This window comes from Homo sapiens, chromosome 12 (assembly GCF_000001405.40).
Source record: "Homo sapiens chromosome 12, GRCh38.p14 Primary Assembly".
NCBI classification, from domain to species: Eukaryota; Metazoa; Chordata; class Mammalia; order Primates; family Hominidae; genus Homo; species Homo sapiens.
The window spans coordinates 108,343,926-108,363,933 of record NC_000012.12 but is presented as its reverse complement, the minus strand read 5'-3'; the positions used below and the strand labels follow the sequence as shown (position 1 = coordinate 108,363,933).

Genomic DNA, 20,008 nt, shown 5'->3' with positions numbered 1-20,008 from the left:
CCCCACACACCCCCACATCACACACACACCACACACACTCTCACCACACACACACCACACACACTCACACCACACACACATCACACACACACCACACACACACACCACACACACATCTCACACTGTGTACTCACACACACACCACCCATGTACACACACACACCACACCCCCCACACATCACAAACACACACCACACATATGCTCACACACACATCACACACACGGCACACACAGCACATACATGCACACACACACTCATACCACACACACCACACACATACACCACACAAACCACACACACCACACCACACACATGCACCACACACCTGTACATATGAACACAACACCCACACCCCCCCCACACATCACTCTCCAACACCACATACAAACATACCACACACGACACACACACCATACCACACACATGCACATGCACACACGCCACAGACACACCACACACACGTACACACACACCAAACCCCCCACACATCATACACACCACACATATCACACACACACGTCACACCACACCCACCACACCACACATATGCACACATGCACACCACACACACCACGCATACACACCACACACATGCCACACACACACGCCACACACACTACACACACCCACACACACGCCCCCATACACCACACACGTCACATACACACCACACACGCCACACACGCCACACATGCACACACACACCCCACACATGCCACACACACACACGCCCCCCCACACTCCACACACACACCATGCACACACACACTCTCCCAGCTCCTCCTCTGGAACAAGCTTGACCACGTCAGGTCTTCTCTTCCATGGTTTTTCCAAATCAGTTTGAGCCACGTTTTACTTTTGTGGCTCTTGTCAGAGAGGCCAGGCCCCATGAACTGCAGGGAGTGGGCCGTTCTGCCCATGTTGGGGGTGGCTACATGGTGCCACAGCCATCCGTGGCCCATCCTTGAAGGGTATGGATTTTGCTGGATGTCTGGGGTCTGGGGAAGTCAAGCAATTCGCTCGTGTGGCAGGATGTGATTTTCTGTCACTTTCACCATCTCACTCTTCCTCTTCCCCACCCCTTATGAGAAAGAAGGCTCTTTTACTAGAATATCATGTTAAAGTGATGCTTTGGGAGGTGGTTTTATTCATCAAACACTTATGTAATCCTTATTAGGCACCAGGTCTAAGGCCTTTAGATGTGTGATATCCCTTAACCCCCATGACAGCCCTATGAGCCTTATGACTCCCATTTTACAGATGTGGAAACAAAGGCCAAGATCATACAGCTAGTAAGTGACGGAGCCTGGATGAAACTCAGGCTGTCTGGTTCCACAGGAGTTGTGTTCTTACCCACCTCGCTCTGCTGCCTTTCCAGTGAGCTTGATCTTCCTAAGAGGAAAACTTGCTTGTCTTCTAGACCAGCCTTGCAGTTGGTCTTGGGCAAGAGAGGCTTCCCTGGGCAATGGAAGACAGAGGCCTGCTCTGATACTCCTCTGGCCTTGCCCTTCCCCAGGAAAGTGGTTATCCAGAGCTCACTTCCTCCTCCTTCTAGTGCATGTCCTGAGTACCTGGGAGCTGAGGATTCCCTGCCCAAGGGGCTTGCAGGGCTTCTTCCCTGGATCTTTTCTCCCAAGAGCAGTGCACTCAGGCCAAAGATGGCTAAAGAGTGACAGATTTTGGATCTGAGCACTGGGCTGTGTGTGTTCATCTGTGGGTGCAAGGCCCTTCTTAGTGTGCGATGAAGCTGGGGTGGGAAATTAAGAGGGGTGGGAAATAGATGGATGACCAGCTTTCTCTCTGCTGTCTTCCAGCGTGGAGCACTGAGAAATCTGAGTTCCTCATTAGATCCTAGGCTTCCAAGTTGTTGGGAAAGGTCTGTTTGTCAAAGTAGGAGGATAGAACATTTTCTGTTTAACGTTAGCAAGCTTGATTGATAATTTTAAGCATTTAGACATATGCTATGTGGACCCCCATTTATCCTCTTGCCCCCGGCCCCACAAATGTCAGGGTGGACTTGTGAAGTGGATGTGGGACTGAAAACCTATTGTCCCAGCAGCTGGGGATGCTGCAACTATCAGCCTCTGCAGGAGTCCCCTCTGATGTAGAAATCACTCTTGCTTAACTTTCTCAAAGCCATGTCCCTTCGGGAAACAGCCCACATTGATTACAGTGCAGGAGTAGTAAGGTCTGGTATCTTGTCCCACCTCTTCCTGGCTCTGTAGGATCATCTCAGCTCCAGCATTCTCTGTGGGGTTAACAGAAGCCTCCACTGAGGCTATGTCCCAGCCAGATTTCTCCCTCTGCCGATGCAGCATCCTTTCTGTCCCCATGCAGGTGTTGATTCCTTTGTGATGTGTCTTTGCAATGCCTTCACTAGGGGGTAAGTCTACTCCACCCCACTGGTGTTGGGCCTGGGGGCTATGAGGAACTCTATAGAGAATATATGCGGTAACAGACTGTAGCCTTGCCTGTTGGCTCCCCCGTTCTAGGGAAGAAACCTTGGCCAGGCAAAGATAGGACAATGATGCCAAATAAGTCATTCACTTTAGTGACATTACTGGGTCAAGACAGGGGGTCAGTTTTATGAGAAGCATTAAGCTGGGAGGAAGGGTTTGAAAAGTATTGGAAGATATAATGGAACACTGTGATTATTCACTTTCTTCTACACATCTATGGGGTGTGGCCTTGTGACTTGCTTGGCCAATGGAATGTGGGCAGAAGTGACGATGTGCCAGTTCCTCACCTGGGCTTTAAAAGTCTTCATGGGCTTATTCTCACCCCTCTTGAATTTCTGCCATCACCTTGAAAAGCACATGCCCTGGCTACCCAACTTGTCCAGGGAGAGTGAGTGGCACCTGGAGCAGATTGGGATCCAATCAATGGCTAATAGCCAAGCTTGGCCAAGCCCATCCAGGTTAGCTGATCACCCCCCAGCTCACAAATATGTGAGTGAGAATGAAGTATTATGGTTTTAAGCCACAGAATCTTAGGTGCTTTGCTAGACAGCATCAGTGGCAAAATCTGGACACAAAAGTACCTGTGCTTGTTTTGGGGAAAAATGATGGGTTTCCACTCTGTAATTCCTGAGTCAAATAGACATTGAAGAAAGAGGTTCCACAAGGATGTTTTCATTAGCAAGCCACTGGGGAATTCCAGGGAAGTGAGCTCCAGGCTGAGAAGCATAAAACTGGGAGGAAGAGCTTGAAAGGTATTAGAAAGCATAATGAGCCACTGTGATGATTCATTTCTCCTATGCATGTGGGTCAAGCCCAGTTGCTGGTTGGATGCCCTGATCTCAGCAGATGCTTCCACCAAAACCTCAGGGGCTTCCCACAGTCCCCAGGGAGGTGGTCTTGAAGTCTTAATGTGGTGTTGTATGTGTGGATGTTGGTGAGAAAGATGAATGCCCTGAATGCTTCAAATACAGGGACAGCTGCTGGCCTGGGGACCATGAGGAGCCCCACCATAAAGAATGTTCTGGGGTAACAGACTGCAGCCTCTTCTGCTGGCTCCTTTGATTTAGGGAAGAATCCTTAGCTGTGCAAAGGTGGGAAAATGACCCCCAAGTTAGTCACCCATTTTAGTGACATTACTGGTCCAAGACAGGGGATCAGTAATTGGCTTTCTGCTACTCACTAGCCATGTGATCTTGGGAGCAAGTCTGGCCTCAGTGTCCTCATCTGATCAATGGGCACAACAATGCCTCATACATTTATCTTGATGATGAATGAAAATAATTCAAGCTCAAATCTACCTCAGGGTGTTTGCCTTGGCAATTTCCTCTGGCTGGTACAGTCCATCTTGAGATTTTGATGGCTGATAATTGGATCCTTCAGATTCAGGGAGCCCACCCTGCCTGCTCACACAGCTGCTTCCTGACTGCCATCATCACACCCCCCATTTTTTTTTTTTGAGGTGGAGTCTTGCTTGTTGCCCAGGCTGGAGTGCAGTGGCGTGATCATGGCTCACTGCAGCTTCCACCTCTGGGGCTCAAGCAATCCTCCCACCTCAGCCTCCTGAGTAGCTGAGACTACAGGTGTGCACCACCACGCCTGGCTAATTTTTGTATTTTTAGTAAAGTTGGGGCTTCACCATGTTGGCCAGGCTGGCCTCGAACTCCTGACCTCAAGTGATCCTTCTGTCTCAGCCTCCCAAAGTGCTGGGATTACAGGCGTGAGCCACCGTACCTGGCCGACGACCCCCTGTTTTATGCACCTTTGAGTACTTACCACTATCTGAAATGATCTTGTGGACTTCTATGTTCCTTGCTCCCAGGGATGACCTGTTGACAGCACATATAGCAAAGGGCCTGAAAAATAGTAGCTGCTCAGTTAGTCTTGTTTGAATGAATAAGCAACTGGAGAGGTGGATGCAGTGTCTGCTGCCAGTAGGCATGATGTGAATATACAAATATACATTCTCTTTCATTCTTTCATCTGAGGACTCCCAGAGAATCTGATGGGTTTGGGCTTAAATTAATTGGAAATAACTTTTCATTTTCCAGGTAATTCCTCCAGTCTCTACTTCAGAGGTTACACATTGGCGGCGTGCACTCCATATGTGGTTCTCCAATATATTCTGATGGATGGCATGGTGTTTCCAAACCATTTGAGACAACTTCTATAAATCAGGATATTTCATATTTAAAAGAATCTTACTTTCAGATATTTTCAGATAAAAAAAGGGAGATCCAGCAAAGCCAGGCCTGAATTTCTGCTTGGCAAGGAGGGGCTGGCACTGAGTAGCCACCCTCTGGGGTCAGGTGGACCAATCCCTGACTGGTCCACCATTGCTCCCATCGCTCCTTCAACGAACCCCTGTCCAGTCCACTGGTTCCCATGACCTGCCTGGTCTCTGCACGTGTTTGTGTCCCCTGATCTATTCTTTTCTGGTTCTGCCGAATGGGTCACAGCTGACTTTACTGTTCCCTCCTGCTGTTCGGCTACTCCCGCAAGAATTCATGGCCCCGAGCTCAGCTCCAGAACCCTCTTGCTTTCAACTCCCACCCCATCGCTTGCTCTTGGTATACGGATTTTAAAACATGCACAATTGATTTGCCAAGAATGGGATGATTAATTAGAAACGAAGACTCATTGTGGGAGAGCCTCGGAGGCGGTTTTGATCTCTATGCTTCTTGAATTTCCTTGCCTTTGTTCTGGCCCCAGATAGGGGACTCATTAGGCAGCGGGGGCTGCTGGGCACAGAGAGTTTGCTATTTTTGAAAACCTCTGACTCAGCACCCCCCTCCCCAGCCCTTCTCTTTCTTCTTGAGCTATGCCCCTTGCTCTGAATCTGAAGGTGTGTGCTGGGAGCTGACATGGGGATACAAGCCCACACCTGGCAGGCTGCGAGGGTGCATTTCCTTCTTTTCCTAAATTTAAGAAAAAATCATCTCCAGACAATGCTCAGCCTTGTCAGAGTAGTGGAGACATGGTGGGGAAAAGTAGCCTGGATCTGAGAGATTTCCTTTAGAATCTTGCCACCCAGGTGTGGTTCTCAGTCCAGCAGCATCTCAGGTATCCAGGGGAAGCTTGCTAGGAATGCAGACTCTTGGACTCCAACCCAGACCTACTGACACAGAATCTGCACTGAGCTCCCCAGGCAATTGGTGTGACCAGAGAAATTTTCATCTTTATCTTGGTTCTAGTGCATACTTTGAAAGTGGGTGCCATCTTCCACACTATTGTTAAACCACAGTGGGATCTGATTCTCACGAATCTCCACTTCACCCCCAGCCCAGTGCCTGGCACATAATAAGTGCTCAGTGTGTCTTTGTAGATTTGCATCCACCATATCCACCATAGAGGTCAGGTTCCTTATGTGGTTCTCAGCCTTGGCTGCACATTGGATTCCCTGGGGAGCTTTATACATTACTGACCCCTGGGCTCCACCCCAAGAGATTCTAACTAACTTGGTTTGGGTGTGACTTGGGCTTGGAGATTTTGAAAGCTCCCTAGGGAGTCAAAAGTGCAGCCAGGGTCAAGAACAACTGTTTTTGTATATTTTTAAAATGTTGGTGCATCTGATGAAAGTTCTGAGTGGTCACAATCCTTCTTTAAAATCCCATGGGGGTGAGGGTGATGCGGAAACCCACTCAACATCCCTACATTTTTCCTCAGTGTTGGGATCAGATAGCTGTTTTCTTACTGAAGAACGGATGCCATTACTGGATTGTATTTAGGGGTCAAGACATATGAAATGCATATCTTGGAATCCAAGAGTCACACTCCCAGGGCGAGATGCTCACCTTGTGGGCTGCTCGTGGGATGCGAGGCCACACCCACACACGGAAGCACCTGCCCTTTCGCATCCTTCTCCTCTCCCACTTTCCCTCGTTCATTCCTACTCTTTCTTCAGATCTCAACCTGATGCTCACTTCCTCCAGGAAGCCTCCCCTGACCACCCACCTCTGGGTAGGCAGGTTCCTTTGTTAAATGTATTCAAAGAATGGGGCTCTTTTCAGAGCCTAGTTGGCAGTTAGACACTCAGGCATGGAAGGCTGGGGTTGAAGTTGGGGACCCCACCCTGGACTGGAAACTTGCTAGGAGCAGTTGTCAGGCCTTTGTAGCCCTTCATGGTATTCCAATGTATCTAGCAGGGACCTAGTAAAAATTGCAATGAATGACTGAATGAGTGAATGAATGAATGAATCATCGAGGTTGTTGAGGGTGTTGGGGGAAGGGTTATTCCTTTCCACACAACCTCTATGTAGATGTGGTTTATCCAATTACCATGAGCTACTCAGCCAGCCCTGCAGCATGCAGTGAGGCATAGCTGTATTTCTGAGGCCTATAATTTTCCAGTAATTAGACTTTCAGGCACATATGTCTTGTGGCTCGAATATGATTCTGTTATACCTCTGTTGCTAAAGTAACTGCTACGTAAGCCTTCAAAAATTTGCTTTAATAATGATGGGCTATAGTGGATCTGTGCTATTTAGGTAACTTGCAATCTACCTTCAGGACAATATAATTACATGGCTGGGTTATTTTTAATTTCATGGGACAGCATTCCTCAAGCTTCAGCCATCCCAGTGCCACCGTTTTTATTTTTGCCCTGCTTGTATACCATTTCTATGGTGTCGTGAATTTAATATTGTCCTTTAAATCTACTCATTAAAAATGTCAGTGAATGTACTCATTAAAAATATCAGTAAATGTAGCTCAAAAGGGAAATTTACATGACCACAGTAAATAGAAAACCAATATCAATTTCCTCAAATAGAAAGTGACCATAAAATACCACCCCTACATAAACAATCAAAATAAAACACGGTTATTAATGTTTGGTTGATACTGTTGCCTGCCCAAGGCTTTGAGCTTGAGGCCTGCTCTTTCTTTGTTATAAAGGGAGATTGGCAAATGTTGAAGAAGGTGTTAAAGACCTGGTAGCACCAAATTGAGACTTTCCCTGGTATAATTAGAAGGACAGAAAAAGAATCGAAAAAGCAACTTTCTCATGTTGTGATTCAATATTTATTTAGTGTCTTGTCTATGTTATAGGCTATTGTTTTATAATACAAATTGATTTGTCTGAGCTCATAGCTTGCTCTTATAAAATCAATAGCAAGTTTTATGTTTTGGCGTCAAGTTTATTGCAATTTATTTTGCTTTTCTCCAGTTATTTTTTATAACCAGATCAAAAGGGTGGAGATCAGACGGAGACTTCAAGACCCACCTCATTTTGAAGTCCTTTGTTCAGCCTGGCCTGTGAAGTTAAGAACCACTGACAAATCACAGGTGCCTTTGAAGTGTAACTGATCAGGGTCAGAACCCTGGCCTTACCACGTTCGCTCCCTGATCTGGCACAAAGCACTTCACTTCTTTAAGGCTACATTTTCTATGCTGTAAAATGTGAATGGTAGTATCAGCCACATGGGGTTGATGTAAGGCCTATAAGAAGTTGTTGCATGTGAATCCCCCTCTCACAAGGCAGGTGGTCCTTAATTGGTGGTCATTGTGGATCCTGTGAGCTCTGAGTGAGCAGGGCAGTGTCTGTCTTATTCACTGAATAGCACTAGGGCCTGGCACTTAGTCCACGCTCAATACATATCATCACATTTGAGGAAGTTTGGGGGTACAAAGGGTGGGGAATAGTGTCTGCTCATGCTGCCTTCTTAAGAATGTCTTCTCCAATTAGGTGGGTGGAAAAGAGGCATGTGTCAATTTAGAGACTGCCTTTTGGGGCAGAATGGTTCTTGAGATTCCTGGGGAACAAGGGCTGTGCTGGGCAGTCAATATGAGGGGATCCCTACTCTTTTTTACATGAATGGTGGAAACGAGGACAGCAGATGTAAATCCACAGAATTGTAAACCATCAGAAGGACCCAATTCCCTTGTTTAATAGAGGGGAAATCTGAAGCATGGAGAGAGGAAGTGACTTGACTATGGTCATCAGCTGGTTGGAAGCAAATCAGAGGCTTGAACCCATGTCTTTTAATGTCCAGTCCAGAGCTCTGTCCCCCATGTCATGCCCAGCCCTTATGTGCCTCCTCTAGCTGTTGTCATATAATGACCATTTGCTTTTTCTTTCTTCAGAATATTGCAAAGGCTCTGGCTTTATCTCCTCTCTGGGAATAAATCCACTTTCTCTACCAGCACCTGCAGAAAGCAGGGAATGCTGGAAGCTTCCTTGTGTGCACACACGTCCCGCATAGGGCTCAGTTTTGATGCCTGGGGCATGAGGTCAGGGTGTGTGCATCACAGTGAGGGCTGTGCCAAGTGGTCTCCAGAAGGACATTGCCTGATGTTTCCCTCTGGGACCTCAACTGTTGAACTAAACAATGTTTATTCTTTAATATTATGAAACATGCATTAAGACCATGGGAAAGGAAAAAAGTATCAAGAAGAAGAAGAAAAAACCAACTGTAGTCCCACTACCCAGATAGAGATAACCACTGCTAATATCTTGGCACATTTCCTTCCAGTCATTTTTCTCTGCATACACACACACACACACACACACACACACACACACACACACACACACACACAGACACACACACACACACACACATGAGCTTTATACATGCTTTATTTTTTCTTCTTAGAGCACAAATTTTATTCATGAATTTGGAGAAAAAAATATTTTTTATATTAAAATTAACATGGCCACATTTTGAAATAGAAGGCAGAATGTGCCCGAATTTTGTAAAAGAAATTATGAGGCTTCATTGAAAAATGCATTAGTGTCTTGGGCTTCACCAGAGACCTGCAGAGCTATGCATTCATTCATTTGGTGGGTAGGTAGGATAAGTATTTCTCTCTCTCTTTCTCTCTCTAACTGATACAGTTTGGATGTTTGTCCCGTCCAAATCTCATGTTGAAGTGTGACTTCCAGTGTTGGAGGTGAGACCTAGAGGGAGGTGTTTGGGTCATGGAAGCAGATCCCTCATGAATAGCTTGATGCTGTCCTTGGGGTAAAGAGTGAATTCTCACTATTAGTTCATGCGAGAGCTGGTTGTTTAAAAGAGTGTGGCATCTCTCCCTTCTCTCTCACTTCTTCTCTTGCTGTGTGACATACTAGCTCCCCTTCCTTTCTGCCATGACCAAAAGCTTCCTGAGGCCTTACCAGAAGCTGGGCAGATGCTGTAACTTGCTTCCTGTACAGCCTGCAGAACCACGAGCCAAATAAACCTCTTTTCTTTATATATTACCCAGCCTCAGGTATTCCTTTATAGCAACACAAAATGGACTAACACAATCACCAGGCACCATGTACTTAATATGTACGATGTAAATATACAATGTAATATTATATATTTAACATATATAGTTATATTTTTAACATACATATACTTCTATATAACATATTAAATTATATAACATATTAAATGATAATACATAATAGTTTTATTTATATACAATTCACATGGTATACAATTCATCCATTTAAAGTGTACATTTCAATGGTTTTTAGTATGTTCACACAGTTGTGCAACCACTACCACAATCAACTTTAGAACATTTCTTTTCCTCAAAAAACCCCCAAATGAAACCCTGTGTGTGACTGGGCACGGTGGCTCACACCTGTAATCCCAGCACTTTGAGAGACCAAGGTGGGTGGATCACTTGAGGTCAGGAGTTTGAGATCAGCCTGGCCCACATGGTAAAACTCTAGCTCTACTAAAAATCCATAAAAAATTAACTGGGCATGTTGGTGCATGCCTGTAATCCCAGCTACTCAGGAGGCTGAGACAGGAGAATCACTTGAATCCAGGAGGCAGAGGTTGCCGTGAGCCAAGACAGCACCACTGCACTCCAGCCTGGGTGACAGAGCAAGACCCTGTCTCTAAAGAAGAAGAAGAAAAAAACCTGTATGCATTGCAGCCACTCCCCATTTCTCTCCAATCTCCCTCCCACAGTCCAAGGCAACCACTGATCTACTTTCTGTCTCTATAAACTTGCCTGTTCCTGACATTTCATAGAAATGGAATCATTAAACGTGTGGCCTTTTGTGTCTGGCTTCCTTCATTTAATGTAATATTTTCAAGGTTCATCCGTGTTGTAGCAAGGATCAGTACTTCAGTCCTATTATGTTGGAATAAATTCCATTGTGTGCATATAGCACATTTTGTTTATCCTTTCATTAGTTGATAGACATTTGGGTTGTTTCTACTTTTTGGCTATTATGAATGATGCTGCTATGAACATTGGTGTACAAGGTTTTGTGTGGATATATAGTTTAATTTTCCCCAGGAATGGAATTGCTGGGTCATAAGGTAACTCTTTGGTTTTTCTAAGGAACTACCATACTGTTTTTCAAGGTGGCTGCACAATTTTGCATTCCCTCTAGTAGAGTATGAGGGTTCTGATTTCATCACATTCTCCCCAAACTTTATAAAGTTCCTTGGGGAGCCTGCTTCAACAAACAGGGCACTAAATGGCAATTCTGCAAACGCTTACTGACAAGTAGGCACCCTTCAGCATCAGTCACCACTCATTCTTGTTTGCACCATTAGTTTATCTCTTTTTTTCCCTAGTGACAAAAGATATTCTGACAAGAGTTCATTCAAGTTGCCTAAAATTCTGGATTAGTGAGGTTTGACCATCCAGGAAATCTCCTATCAGGCAGTTTGCTGCTTTCAGCTGTCATCAGTTGATTGATTCATTGATTCAGCAAACATTCTGTGAGCACCTGTCATGTGCCAGCCACAGTGCCAGGAACTAGGTACATGAATATGAATCAGACTTGTGGTTTTATGCTTATAACCACTAGAGGTTCTGGGATCCTTTTGAGAATCTGATGAAAATTTTGGACCTCCTCCCCAGAAAAGCTCATGCCCACACAGACATATGTGCATAATTTTATGTGTTTATGGCCTCCTTGAAGATGATCAATAGATTTATTAGGGAGTCTTCTTGAAGGTCATACGAAGATTTCCAGGTTCAGAATCATTGTTGTATTCCAATAAATGAACAAAAAATATGGTGTCTTATTTGTGTCATTATTATTATAAAACACCTTGAAGTTTGATTCCTAATCAAAGATTTTCTTCCTCCTACTGCAGGATTTGTGGGCTTTGGTATTTGAACATGGGTGCCTAGGCTGTATGCATGGGATATTTGGGGTGCTGCAGCTTCAGCAGGCAGCTCTACAGGCATGCTCCCTGCCCTCATGAAGCCTGCAATCTGGGGATGGACTCCTGTTCACACCTGACCTAGGCTCTCTCAGAAATAGTTGATGGATCTCCTGAGATCATCTGAGCTCTGGCTCTCATCCACGGTGTGCCAGGGCTGGGCACAGTGGCTCATGCCTGTCATCCCAGTGCTTTGGGAGGCTGAAGTGGAAGGATCGCTTAAGACCAGGAGTTTGGGACCAACCTGGGCAACATGGCCAGACTCCGTGTCTAAAAAAATGAATCTGATTTTTTAAAAAAGTAAAATAAATAAATAAATACAAAGAAAGAAAGAAAAGACAAAAACAGCGGGCCAGGAAGAATCAAGGATGAAATGAGCAGGAGAGAGGCATGCAGGCAGTGGGGCCCTTGTGGTGTCAGCATGCCTGGATCACACCAGCCTTGGGAACCTCCAATGAAGACGGGTGTTGCAGGTGACTGAGTCCAGCCTGGTCTTTTAGATGACATCAGGGCCCAATTAAGGGTTTAGGAACAAATACACCTAGACTGGTGGAAACCAAGGGGGGACATCTGTGGGTGTGCAACAAAGCCAACGAGTGTAGCCACAAACATCTTCAACATCTGGAAGGTCTGTGGTGACACTTTGTGGTGTTTTCTACATCACACAACCAAAATCCTATTAAACCAAGGAGAAAGAGGAGATTCTCTCACCTGCGTCCTGAAGGAATGCATCTGAGCAGATATAGGAATCTTTCTGGGGTGAGTGATTTCTGGGGCGAGTGACATCTTTTTGGCGTGTGTGATTCACAGGTTTCTTTTGCTGAATGCTAGGTAACTTCTTGGGGCTCCCATTTCCTTTCTCTCTCCTCAACATCACACAAAAGGAATGTGGAAATGTATGGACCAGGAGGCAGCCAGCTGCTGCAGAGCAGGCACTAAAGGAGCACAAAACAAAACCTTATTTATGAACCCTGGGTGTCTTGGAGTGGGACTGTCCGAGAACAGGTAAGCCTGGGAAAATGGAGGAGGTGTCGATTTCAGCATGGGCCAGCTCCTCAGATGCTTATGTTCCTGTGATTATGGGCTTCTCATCGGTCACAGCCTCCTTTGAAAAGCTCTGGACTCTTTCCCCATACACTATGGTGAACAATTTGAGGAGGGGTTTGAATCATTGCAGGACAATCATGGGTCACTGGTAGTCCCTAGAAAGCAAACCTTACCTTGTGTAGTCCACTGAGGGAACTGAAATGTAGTATGTACTGCAATTATTGCTATTAAAGAAGCTTACAATAATCAAAATCAAGTGTTGGCAAACTTTTTCTTAAAGGACCAGAGAGTAAATATTTGAGGATTTTGTGAACCATGCAGTCTGTTGTTGCAACTTCTCAGCCCATGGTTGCAGTGTGGAAACGGCCACAGACAATGCATAAATGAATGGGCATGGTTGTGGGTTCCAATAAAACTTCCCTTACAAGAACAGGCAGTGGGCCAAATCTGGCTCTTGGGCTATAGTTTTCCTACCCCTGATAATATTATAATACTTTTTAGGAATGAACACTCACCGTGAGCCAGGAGCTGAGCTATGTGTTTATGGTATTATCCCCATTTCACAGAAGATGAATCAGTTTCAGAGAGGTTTCATAACTTGCCCAAGGCCACGCCGCTAGTAACTGATGGAGCAGAGATTCTGATTTCATTGCTTTGTTCCTAAGAAATGGTTACAAAAAGTATTATGAAGGATGGGAGGTTAGAGACATAATGATATTGTTATTAAATTATTACAAGTATCAACTAATAATACATAATGAGAACATTTCTTGAGAGTCTTCTATGTGCTGAGAACTATGCTAAGTGCCTCCTACAGTGCTAATGTCTGAATGTTGTGTGTCCCTCCAAAAATTCATATGTTAAAATCCTTACCCCCAAGGTGAGGGTATTAGGAGGTGAGGACTTTTGGGAGGTGATTGTGTTGTCTTGATTAGGATTAGTGCCCTTACAAGAGACCCCAGAGAGGACCTCCCCTACTCTGACATGAAGTTACAGTGAAAAGATGGCTATGAGGAAGGACCCTCACCAGACTCTGAATCTGCCAGTGTCTTGACCTTGGACTTCCCAGCCTCTAGAACTGTGAGCAATAAATGTTTGTTGTTTGTAAGCAACCCAGTTATGATATTTTGTTACAGAAGCCCAAATGGATGAAGGCATACTGATTAACACAAATCATCCCCACCACAACCTGCTATTACTATTATTACGCCCATCAGGGAACTGAGGCACAGAGAGGTTAAGCCACTTGACTTAGGTCACATAGCTGTCAAGTATGAGGGCAGGATTCAAACCTACACTGTGCCCTCTACCTCCCCCAGTTGCTATTTTGAAGCCCACACACGCTACAATAATATCCCATTTATCATCTGATAGGGCTTGGGCCCTGACTAATAACAACGTAGCCTTACATGAGGACCCTGGGCTCCTAGCTAACAAGCGATACCCCTTTTTTTCCTGGATCATGGGTTGGTCCCAGGAGACGATCCTGTGTAACTGCGGTTTAACCAACTGATCAGGAAATATTTTAATATTTACAGAACTGGTACAACTCTGGTAGCTGTGCCACTATAAGGTGAGGGCTTTCTAAGGAGGCCGGCCTGGGTGGTGGGGTGCGTGGATGAGCAGAGCAGGAGGCCCAGGTGGTGACCAGAATTCCCCGGGCGTCAGGTTCCTAGCTCAGATGCCAGTAGAGGGATCTGAGGCCTGGGACCCCTGAGCAAATAAACTCAGTCCCTGGGCCTCACCCACCCAGGCCCAGGGCCAGCGCCCCCACTTCTCCCATCTCTCTGCAGTGGCAGCAGCCTGAGTCCTGAGTCAGAGGCTCCCACAGGAAAATAAACTTTCTGTACTAAGAGGAGGAGGGGGAAGCTTACTTTTCAAAAATAGGAAAGGCAGCCCCGTTGCTATGACGAATTCCTCGTGTTGCTCCGTGTTTTTGAAAATTTTTTATTTTTTTTTATGACCCACATAAAAAGGTACATACAGCCTCGTTGTAAAAATACATGGAAAAACCTCCATCTTATGCCCGATTCAAGTGAGGATCAAGATATGAGGCAAGGAGAGCTTGTTTTAAAGTCTTTGAAGGCTCTGGGATCTCTGACATTTGGGGACCCCACCCCACATCATGGTGAACCTCAAAATGCGTGTTTCTTATAAAAATATCTGGAAAGGTTTTAAAATAGTTCATACAATCTGGGCTTTTATGAAGAATAAATTATTCATCGTGTTCTCGTGACTTGTGCTCTTCTATTTCCAACGACAGGAGGGCCGTGGAGGTGCAGCTGATTCACTCATGTATTGCAGACGTTGAACCAGACGTTTATTAATTTTGATGTCGCAGTTTCCTTTTGGTGTTCTGGGGCCAACTCGCTTATGATTACAGGTTTCAGATATCTCTGCAGGCCCTTAACAAGCTGGTGGGCTCCAGGTTCTGGGCCCCAAGTGTGGGGCCATGGGGGCAGGGCCAGGGTCAGGAGCACCAAGCAACTCCTGGGGCCTCAGTTTACCCATATGCAAAATGGGAGTGTTTCAGGATAAAATATGTAGAAAGTTGGAGATAGAGAGGGAGAAAGAGGAAGGAGAAAGAGGATATAAGGGTGAAATCGATGGGATAGAATACAAATAATTGGCAAATTGTTTATATTTGGTAAATATAAATAATTTATATTTATAAATATAAACTTACCATATTATTTATATTTACAAAATATATGTAGTTATAAATATATTTTTACAAACTATGTATAGTTATAAATATATTTTTACAAACTATGTATAGTTGTAAATATATTTTTACAAACTATGTATAGTTGTAAATATATTTTTACAAACTATGTATAGTTGTAAATATATTTTTACAAACTATGTATAGTTGTAAATATATTTTTACAAACTATGTATAGTTGTAAATATATTTTTACAAACTATGTATAGTTGTAAATATATTTTTACAAACTATGTATAGTTGTAAATATATTTTTACAAACTATGTATAGTTGTAAATATATTTTTACAAACTATGTATAGTTGTAAATATATTTTTACAAACTATGTATAGTTGTAAATATATTTTTACAAACTATGTATAGTTGTAAATATATTTTTACAAACTATGTATAGTTGTAAATATATTTTTACAAACTATGTATAGTTGTAAATATATTTTTACAAAATATGTATAGTTGTAAATATATTTTTACAAAATATGTATAGTTGTAAATATATATTTTACAAAATATGTATAGTTGTAAATATATATTTTACAAAATATATATTTACAAAATATATATTTTACAAAATATATTTTTACAAACTATGTATAGTTGTAAATATATTTTTACAAAATATGTATAGTTGTAAATATATTTTTACAAAATATGTATAGTTGTAAATATATATTTTACAAAATATGTATAGTTGTAAATATATATTTTACAAAATATATATTTACAAAATATATATTTTACAAAATATATATTTTGTAAATATATATTTACAAAATATATATTTTACAAAATATATATTTACAAAATATATATTTTACAAAATATATATTTACAAAATATATAATTTACAAAATATATATTTTACAAGAAGTTCTTAAGTTTATATTTACCCTCAGTTGCCAATTATTTATATTTTAATAAATGAATATAAATTTAAAATATTTTAATAAATATAAATTTAAAATAGTTTATTAAATAAAATATTTATTTAAAATATTCTACTACATAAAATATTTATTTAAAATACTTTAATAAATAAAATATTATTTTAAATACTTTAATAAATATATTTTAATAAATATAAACTCCCTATAATGGAGTTTCTTGTACTATTCTTGCCACTTTTTTGTAAGTTTGAAATTATGTAAAAATGAAAAGTCTTCCCCACACCCCAGGTGGTGGTGGGAAGAGCGGGTGTCGGATTAATTGGGAGACTTTGAGCTGTGCTCAGATGAAGCCTGGGATGACCCCAGGGGACCCAGCATGTCGAAAGAAGTGGCTCCACTGTCCCTGTCTTCCTTAACTAAGCAGGTCCATTTCTGTACGCCTTGTATTTTGGGGCTCCATATGGATTCTTCTGGGAAAAAGGGGTCCTTTAAAAAGAAAGCCAGAGACTGGTGGCTGTGGAGGTGCCCCAGGACTTGGGTCTAAGGATTTTGATATGGTTTGGCTCTGTGTCCCACTCAAATCTCATGTTGAATTGCAATTCCCAATGTTGGGGGAGAGACCTGGTGGGCGGTGGCAGTCCAGGGGGCAGAGACAGATGCACACATGGTGAAACGAAAAAGCAGTGTGATTTGAGAAAGCATGAATGTGTTGGCCAAGTACAGATATGCTTGGCAGAAGGATGATCAGGTAGATGGGAAGAGAAGAAACAATCCTGGAAGGCTGCCTGGAGGACAGGACATCTGAGCTAGATTTTGAAAGATGACCAGGAGGTTACTTGGTGGCTGGGCACATGGTAGCAAGAGGGTATATCTGGCCAAAGGGGCAGTTCTAACAAAGGTGTGGAGTCTTTAAATTGCATGATAGGTTCAGAGTAGGAGGGGAAGAGGTAGGCCATGCAGCTAGGGGGATGGCCAGGGGTGAGGCCACCAGAAGCCCCTGTGTCTGTGTGTGTGAAATGGGGGCTGGTGGAGTTCTCTGGGAGTTGGGAGATTAGATCAGCTGCTCAAGACTTGCGGTGTGGCTTTGGGCAGTCACTAAACTTCTCTGGGCCTCCATTCCCCATGTCTCTCCCCACTGCATGTCTCTCACCCCCCAGAAATGGAAGCTTTCGCAGAACGAAGCTATGTGCAGTTGGACGTCACCTGAGTGCTGGGGAACAGCCACAGGTCTCATCAGCTCCGAGCTCCTCCCATCCCAGTCTGGGGTCCAGGAAAAATGCTCTAGAGCAACCTTGCCCAGCCCTCCGACCCCTCCCAGGCATCCAGGGTGGTCCCACCACCCCCAGAGTGGAAAACTACCTTTTTCAGAAGGGGCTGGGTAGGTGGGGTCCCCAGGGCTCACCAGAGAGCAGTGGGCCTTGCCCTCCCCCATCAGAGAAAACCCCTCTGCTGGCCTTAGAGGTGGGGCCTCCTGACTCCCATCCTCACTGAGGGCCATTAACCCTTCAGTGCTGTTAACCCTTTCCAGCTTGGACAAAAGTCTGGGGGCCTGGATGCTCATCTAATGGACAGAACAGACTAGGCTGCCAGTTTTTTCCTTCTGTTTCTCTTTCTCAGTTCCAAAACCTCAACTTCACAATTGTCTGTCTTTCCACCTCAGTCTCCAAGTCCTTAAGAAACTCCCTCCTCCTTCCCCCTCCTTCTCTGAGCCTGGTCTATAGGACAGAAGTAACTCTCACAGTTCCTGAAACACACTGCACAGACTTGAATCCTGTTTCCAATAAAATATTTGTCTGGGGGCATAGCACGTGTCTGGTGACAGCTCAATGCTCAACTTTCCTGTCTTGGTAACTGCAGTCCTCTCTGTGGCTAAGAACTAGAACTCAGACTTCAGGAAGGCTCCCCTGTGTCCTTGGCCCAGCTGGCCTGAGTTGGTTGCTGACTTTGGCCGTCCATTTATTCATTCATTTAACATATACATGTATTGAGCAGCTTCTTCGTCCCTGGCCCAATCCCTGTCCCCAGTCCCTGTCCCCCTGGAGCTTTAGGTGTGGAGGGAGGAAATATACTTTGCACACATCATCATGGCATTACGATTGAGGATGGTGCTGTGGTGGAGGTCAGGGTGCCATGAGAGGTTGGGAGAAAGTGACATTTCAGCTGACCTCTGAAGGTCCTGCTCCCCCTAGGTTTCTCTCCAGCTGTGCCATCCCTTTAGTTTTTCTCCATCTTGGAAGATGAGGTTGGCAAGAACCAGGTTATGGGGGATTTTGATAGACCAGAATCAAGACACTGTAATAGGGAGCCATGAAATGTTGTTGAGCAGTGGAGTGACACAAAACAAAATAGAACGTCAGGATGGCCAGTTCTGCGTGTCCCAAGACACAATTGAGGGCCTGCATTTGGGAATGTGGCCTTTTTCCCCCTCATAAAACCCACCTCCTGCACAAGGTATGTGGCCTTTTTAATGCTCAATAGAAGGGGGTGGAAATCCAATATTTACTACATGACAGTTGGGCTAGACAGTTTTCTAAGCATGTTATGTGTATCAACTCTAATTTTCCCACCAACCTTTTGAGGTAGGGACTCTATTAGATTCAGGGAGGTTAGGAAATTGCACAAGCCCACACAGCTAGCAAGTGGAGCAGAGACTCAAACCCAGATCTGCCTGCCCCCAAGCCCAATGTTCTGGTCTTCTTTGAAACAGCTCTTGTATTAGATTTCTACTGCTGCTAGAATAAATCACCACAAACTTAGTGGCTTAAAATAATACAGATTTGTATCCCTACAGTTCTGGAGCTCAGAAGTCCAAAATGAGCCTCATGGGCTAAAATCAAAGTTTTCGTAGGGCTGGTTCCTCTTGGAGGCTGCAGGGGAGAATCTGTTCTTTGCCTCTTCTGGTGTCTGCAGGCTGCCCACACTCCTTGGCTCCTGGTCACATCAGTAAATCTCTGCTTCCTTCATCACCCCACTGCCTTCTCCCTGCCCTGATCTCCTGCCTTACTCTTAATAGGACTCTTAATAGGACACTGGGCTCGCCTGTATGATCCAGGCTAATCTCCCCATCTCAAGATCTGTAATTCAATCACATCTGCAAAATCCTTTCCCTTTTACCACCTAAGGTAACATAGGTAACATATTCTCGGGTTCTGTGGATTGGGATGTGGGTATCTTGGGGGACCATTATTCTGCCTGTCACAGTCTTCCAGCCTATTTTGCCCTCTGCTCTTTTAAAGGCTGCTTGCATCTTCAGGACGTGTTAGTTGCCTGAGAATCTTTTATTTTTATTTTTATTATTATTTTTAAGACAGAGTCTTGCGTGGTGGCCCAGGCTGGAGTGCAGTGGTGCCATCTTGTCTCACTGCAACCTCCACCTCCTGGTTCAAGCAATTCTCCTGCCTCAGCCTCCCAAAAAGCTGGGATTACAGGCATGTGCTGCCATGCTTCGCTATTATCTTTTTTAGCAGAGATAGGGTTTCACGATGTTGGCCAGGCTGGTCTTGAACTCCTGGCCTCAAGCAATTGTCCTGCCTTGGCCTCCCAAAATGCTGGGATTATAGGCGTGAGGCACCATGCCTAGCCTGCCTGAGAATCTTTCCTGGTAATTAAGGGGTTCTTAGAAAGCATCATATCTCATTTAAAATGGGGAGTTTCACTGGGCGCGGTGGCTCACGCCTGTGTCCCAGTACTTTGGGAGGCCAAGGTGGAAGGATCACTTGAGGTCAGGAGTTCGAGACCAGCCTGGCCAACATGGCGAAACCCCAT

At 44.2% G+C, this 20,008-nt stretch overlaps 1 annotated feature.

Annotated features, from left to right (window-relative positions):
• Window positions 17,511–18,011: an enhancer, noted in NCBI's record as "H3K4me1 hESC enhancer chr12:108739700-108740200 (GRCh37/hg19 assembly coordinates)". NCBI's record gives its function as "activates a minimal SCP1, AML or CMV promoter by ChIP-STARR-seq in naive H9 embryonic stem cells {active_cell/tissue: H9 hESC(naive)}" and the evidence as "EXISTENCE:reporter gene assay evidence [ECO:0000049][PMID:30033119]".